This window comes from Homo sapiens, chromosome 13, assembly GCF_000001405.40.
Source record: "Homo sapiens chromosome 13, GRCh38.p14 Primary Assembly".
Classification (NCBI taxonomy): domain Eukaryota; kingdom Metazoa; phylum Chordata; class Mammalia; order Primates; family Hominidae; genus Homo; species Homo sapiens.
The window spans coordinates 22,486,133-22,493,437 of record NC_000013.11 but is presented as its reverse complement, the minus strand read 5'-3'; positions in this window follow the sequence as shown (position 1 = coordinate 22,493,437).

The following is a 7,305-nucleotide window of genomic DNA, read 5'->3' as shown; positions in this document are numbered from 1 at the left end:
AAAACAAGCAATGGGGAAAGGATTCCCTATTTAATAAATGGTGCTGGGAAACCTAGCTAGCCATACACAGAAAATAGAAACTGGACCTCTTATATCCTTTATACCTTATACAAAAATTAACTCAAAATGGATTAAAGACTTAAATGTAAAACCCAATACCATAAAAACCCTAGAAGAAAACCTAGGCAATACCATTCAAGACACAGGCATGGGCGAAGACTTCATGATGAAAACACCACAAGCAATTGCAACAAAAGCCAAAATTGACAAATGGGATCTAATTAAACGAAAGAGCTTCTGCACAGCAAAAGAACCTATCATCAGAGTGAACAGGCAACCTACTAATGGGAGAAAATTTTTGCAGTCTACCTATCTGACAAAGGTCTAATATCCAGAATCTACAAGGAATGTAAACAAATTTACAAGAAAAAAACAACCCCATCAAAAAGTGGGCAAAGGATATGAACACTCACTTCTCAAAAGAAGACATTTATACAGCCCTTATTTTTTCAAAGCAATAACACAATGTACACCAACAAAAGTACACCCTATTAATAAAGCCCTCCCAAAAGCATTATTAGTTTTTGTTTTCTTCAAAAATATGTATTATACTTAAATAATAGTATTATGTTGCTTCTGTAACAAAAATACAAATCCTCATCGTGGAATATTTGAGAGTATGTGGAAACAAATAAAACAAAAACCATAAACTTCAATATACATTTATACCCATAAACTTCAGTATACATTTTGTCAGGTATGCTTCTAGTTCTTAGAGCTTATACATATATTTACCCACATACTATTTATATCTACCCATCTTTCTATTATCTGTTTTTCTTTCTGAAAATAAGATGTTTATTTATGTTCCTCTAACAATGTGAATTCATATTGTAGCTGCTGTTCTGTAGCTTGCTTTTGAAATTTAACATCGTGAACAATTTAGGATGTCGTTCTTCTACAACTTATCTTTTTACTTACTATTATTATTACAACATATCATTATTATTACTATTATCATTGTTATTACAATGCACATATGGACATAAATTTAAGATTCCTCCATTTGAGCCAGACTTAACTACCTTTTAAAAAATGTGTAGTAGTGTAGTAGTCTATCATTAGGAAACACTCTATTTTTAAAAATCCCCTATTATTGAAAATTTAGATCTTCTGTGTGATAGATTGCTACATTAATGAGCCTCAGTGAATCACATCTTCTAACTTTTAGATTCTTGGATGATCTTCTTCCATGTTGCTTCTGGACTTGGATATGTGATGTGTGTATTAGTTTCCAGTTGTTGCTATAACAAATTTCCACAAACTGAGTAGCTCAAAACAACACCAATATATTATTTTATAGTTCTTAATGTCAGAAATAGAAAACTGTTCTAACAGGACTGAAATCAATATGTCAGCAGAGAAGGCTTCCTTCTGAAGGTTTTAGGGGGGGAACTCATTCCTGTGTTTTCCAACTTCTAGAGGCCACTTATGAATCTTGGCTTGTAACTGCATTACTCCAGCCTCTGCTCTTGTTATCAGGTCTCCTTCTCTCACTTTGACACTGCTGCCGCTTGCCTCTTGTAAGGACCCTTATGAGGTCCACCCAAATTGTCCAGGATAACCTTCCCATTCCACGATATTTAACTTAATCATATCTGCAAAGTCCCTTTCACCATGTAAGTTAAAATAGTCACGAGTTTTGGGGAATTGTATGTGAACATCTTTGGGGAGGAGGCATTATCCTGTCCACAATGAATTGTTTTGGCTAATGGTATATCAGCAAATGTAATCCAAGCTAACACTGGATAAGCACTCAAGCATTGAGTCTTGTTTTCTGGGAAACATGCTGCTACCATATACAAAATCTGATGGAGAGACCATTTGGAGAGGAACTGGAGTGTCATGGTCTTAGCAAAGTGCCAGATGTATGAGTGAGGCTATCTTGAATCATCTAGCCCTAGTCAAGTTGTCCAATGACTACAGCCACCTGAGGAATCTCAGGAGAGACCATCAGGAGAACTGCCCAGCCCAGTTAAGTCTGGTTCAAATGGAGGAATCTTAAATAAATCAATCATTATAATTTTGAAACACTATGTTTGGAATTAATTGTTAAGCAGTAACATATAACTTGTGATTTAAACAAAATTGTGATGAGCAATAGTGCAGGTACATCTTTGGGGAACATATGAACTAGATGATAGCACTCTTAAAGATAGGAGGAAACCCAAACAACAAGTCTCCAGTGATAAAATTTCAAGCAGCTCAATGAGTGGAAATAACTTTCTTCTGTTGAGGACTTGAGTCATCCTCAAGTCCAACTGAATTGCTAGCAATACAATCTAGTGGAAAAGAGAACATTAACTTTGGCATAAGCAGACTCTTATTTGAATCCTTGCCCTTTTCTGAATAATTCACTACTGACCCAAGTTTCCTAACATCTTTAAGTCTTCATTTTTTCATCAGGAAAATGGAAATAAAGTAAAATAAAATAGAGAATCGGTTGTTCCTCTTTTTTTGTGGTTGCTGTTAGAAATCAGTAAAATCAGCCACTATGGAAAGCAGTCTGATGATTTCTCAAAGAACTTAAAACAGAGCTACCATTTGACCCAGCAATTCCATTGCTGCATATAGATTCAAAAGAAAATAAATCATTCGACCAAAGATACATGGACTTGTATGTTCACTGCTGCACTATTCACAGTAGTAAAGACAAGGAATCAACCCAGGTGGCCATCAATGTTAGACTGGATAAAGAAAATGTGGTACACATACACCATGAAATACTATGCAACCATGAAAAAGAATGAAACCATATCTTTTGCAGCAACATGGATGGAGCTGGAGGTCAAAAACCTCAGCAAATTAACTCAGGAACAGAAAACCAAATACTGCATGTTCTCACTTATAGGTGGGAGCTAAATATTGAGCACATATGAACATAAATATGGAAACAACAGACACTGTGGAATGCTAGAGGGAGGAGAGGAGGGTTAAAAAACTACCAACTGGGTACTTAGCTCACTACCAGGATGACAAGATTCATACCTTAAACCTCAGTATCATGCAACATTCCCATGTAACAAATCTGTGCATGTACCCCCTGTATCTATAATAAAAGTTGAAATTTAAAAAATAAATAAATACAATTAAAAAGTGCCTTTGAAACTGCAGAACACTGATTTGTGGGAGTGCTTCCTTGGGTTGTCACTAGGTGTGTTAATGCACCAGATAGAGGATGGAATTTGTCAGATAGCACTGAGTACAAATTCTGACATGACCATGGCCACTTGCTTCCTCTCTCTGAACCTTGGTTTTCTCTTCCATAAAATCTTTTGGGTTTTCTACTTTTATGAGTAGTTTTGGGCACTGCATTAGATGCCATATGTAAAACCCCTAAGGACGTGGGACTTGATGAATTTCTCCTCCTCTCTTCTTATTCACTAAGCTCCCCAACAAACCACACTGACCATTGATACAACTGTGTTAACTGTATGTATTTTTAGCCACATTTACTAAGAGTTAAGAATAGTAGATATACTCACTGCTTAATACTTGCCAGAACGCTCTGCTAAATAATTTGTATTTCTTATACTCTTCTACCCTGATACCTGGGAGGCTGAATAAGGGCCACAGGATTGAAGAGACAGGGAATGAACAGTAAAATATCTAGAAATGGGAGGTGAGCTCTAAAATAATGAGAAAGCATGCAGGAGTTAGCCAGTCAGGAATTTCTGGTCATTAGTAAAAAGCAAGTGACCTAATAATTCCAACATTGATAATATCAAAGATATCTATGATGATAGATAAAGTAAATAACACGTGCAGGGCTCCTGTTGCCCTGGATAGGAATGGTTAGGAACTCATTCAAAGATTCAAGTCAGGCTGGGCGTGGTGGCTCAGGCCTGTAATCCCAGCACTTTGGGAGGCTGCGGTGGGTGAATCACTTGAGGTCAGGAGGTCAAGACCAGCCTGCCCAACATGGTGAAACCCCATCTCTACTAAAAATACAAAAATTAGCCAGGTGTGGTGGCGGGCGCCTGTAATCCCAGCTACTTGGGAGGCTGAGGCAGGAGAATCGCTTGAACCTGGGAGGCAGAGGTTGCAGTGAGCCGAGATCATGCCACTGCACTCCAGCCTAGGCAACACAGCGAGACTCCGTCTCAAAAAAAAAAAAAAAAGATTCAAGTCCATTGAGTGATTTGGGATTTGCATTTATGTACAATGCATGCATTAAATAAGTAGCGAATATAAATCCAATGGCATCTCTAGCCCCACCTCCTTCAGGAATTTTGCCTGAATGACCCAGCTTTTACTCATCTTTCTTGCACTGTGAGCTCCATATATAACGTAGCTTCTGTCTCAATTGATTTAGTAATAACTTTTATTTTAGCACTTAATTACACTTACAAATAATATACTTAATTATACTTGTAAATTATTCACAATTGTTTCACACATGTGACTCTTATCTTTCACTTAGATTATAATATCCTCAAGGAAGAAATCTAGGCCTTACCTGTTTTTATACTTTTTCTTTGGCCTCTCGAAACCCCCCAACTAGTTTGGAAAAATAACAAAATATTCTAGAAGTGAATGAACAGGTGTCACAGTAATGGCAGGGCCACGTTTTACAATCATTCTGAAGGCCTGCTTTGTGATTTTTTTAGTGGTAAGGCAAATGGGGTGGGTCAAGTTTTCTGAATAACTTTTAAGCCTACCAAAGAGTTCATTGCATGAAGAAGTTGACGAACTAACGATGACCATTTTAACTTAGATGTACATACTCTTGAAGCTCTCTCTTGAATGGATTTCTCACCATAGATTTTGAAGTTCTTACCTAAGCAATATAAATTACCCACTGGGATTTAGTTCAAAAATTTATGACAGAATCAGAATAAAAACACAACATCTAGTAGAATACTGTTTTTATGGTCCATCTCATAATAATACTCCATATGTGGGCAATATTTTAGTGAATTGTAAGGCATTCCTTGAATGCCCTATATGATTAACCTAAATGAGGAAGAAATCTTTATTGCAGAATTGTATTTTATGTATGGGATATAGATCTCTATATGGGATATAGAGAATACATATGTCCTCTGTGTAGATATACCCTCTGACAATTTGAAAAATAAGAAAATGCTTACATCATGGTTTGTTTTGTTTTTTATTTTGGTAAATATAGTGTCAACTTTATGACACTTGCATCAGATTCTACTGGAATGCATATTTTGAAACTCAGATTCCTGACTCCAGACCAGATCTACTGATTCAGAATCTCTGGACATGTGCCAAGGAATCTGTATTTTAAACAAGCTTCTGAGGGATTTTTATGGATCCTAATGTTTGAAGCCATTGTTTTGTTTTTAATCATAGCTTGATTTCCTAGGAATCTATGTGTGTTTACCCTCCCTCCTCCTCCTATTTGGCCCATAGCCTCTTCAATCCACTCACTAAAGCTTGTTTTTTGTTTTGTTTTGGTTTGATTCTTCTAATACATGATGTTCTGCGGGAACTTTATGCCTTAGGGTAGTAGTTCTCAAACTCAGCTTGCATTGTCAGAATCATCACTGTAACTTAATAATGCCCAGGCCCTATCCCAGATCACAGATTCACATTCATGAGGACTGAGCCCAGGGTAGACATTTGCTTCAAAAGCTTAGGTGTGACTCAGGAGCCAGAGGAGGAGGAACACCACCTTTAGAACAAGCCCACCTCCACATGAAAGACCACCACTGTCTTTCAGTTGTGTGAAGCCCCTTATGGTGTGCACAAATACCTTTGGTGGCAGTGTCTCTCTGACTCTGCTGGCTGGCAACCCTACTTGGTTGGCAGTCCCACGTGTGCACATGTCTGGGTGTCTGGATGCCTGGCCTCTACCTGCCTCTCCCAACATGGGCTCATGCTACAAGTCTGCAGCAAGTCAGTGTCTTAAAAGACTCTTCCCTCTTGCACGCCTAAGCTGACAGCCATTCTTCTTGGAGCCTCTGATGGCCAGTCCAGGTGCAGTGCTTCTGCTAAACCTTCAGAGGGAATTATAAAATTTTCCAGCTCATTCAAAAGATAATTTATTTCTGGGAACACTCTAGATTCACCACAAAGCATTGTATTCCCGGCTCTGTTTCTCTCTGAGCAGGAGGACAGGGCAGAAGCTCATAAGCTTCCCTTGCCAAAAGCAATCATTTATATTCCAAATTGGCCCTTCTGGGTGGAGCAGGGTAAACACCATCACTCCTTCTAAACATTATCCAAATGCAGATATCAAAAGGCACTTGGTATATTCTCTACATCTCTATCAGATGACCTTCTCAATATGCCAGGAGACATCTGTAAATCCAGCTTTAGGAATAGCCATACAAATCTGATAGCATGCCTTGGTAAATATGCAAATTAAATGTCAGCAGTAAGCCAGATTTCAATGGTGAGGTTCCAGTGAAAACATTTTCATATCCAGACAAGCCAAGGACATGGGCAGGTGGTCAGTGTGCACGTATGAATTACAACCACTTTGGTAAGTTTAACACCACTGCTCTCTATTTTGACTTTAGGAGCTGGCAAATAATATAGCTAAAGGTTTTAGAGAGAACAAAAGGCATGGTCCCTATTCAGAGACCTCCCATATTTTGAATTTTTGCTGGCTTAGGTCAGTCCATGAACTATAGTGCTCTTTTAAAATGTAATCATAACCACAAAGGTACACACTGGAATTCTTACATTGCTTGGCATTTGGTGATTAAAGTTGACATTCGTTGGGCTGAGCTGGAGTTTTAGAATTGATAGACCTCAACTAATCCCAGCAATAAAAATGGTCACAAATGAATGCTGTGACAGGTTTCGAAACAAGAAAAATCATCACTGAGCTCACTAGAAAAGATTAAGAGACTGTCAAGTTAAAAAGTTATTGGCCCCGTTTACACTTGTGTTGGGTAGTGAATGCTGTTTTATCCATTTGTACTTGCTCCGTCGCCTCTTTTACATTTCTTGTTATAATAATTTCCAAAGTCATAAACAAAGAAAATAAGACATCATCTCAGATAAAATGGCACAAGATTTAATACAAGTAAAAAACATTAGCTATGGAACAACCTGGCCTCAGAGAACAAAGAGCTTTAAAATTCATCTTACTCTACAGTGTTAGAATGCTTTATATTAAATATTGATTTTTCTCTTGATTATATTGTTACACATTCCACTGTTCCCATGCCATCAGCCTTGAGGACTTTATTATTTATGTAATTGCAAGATCTGAGGCAGAGTGAATGCGTCTGATCTCAATGAATGGCATAGGATCTAAAAACT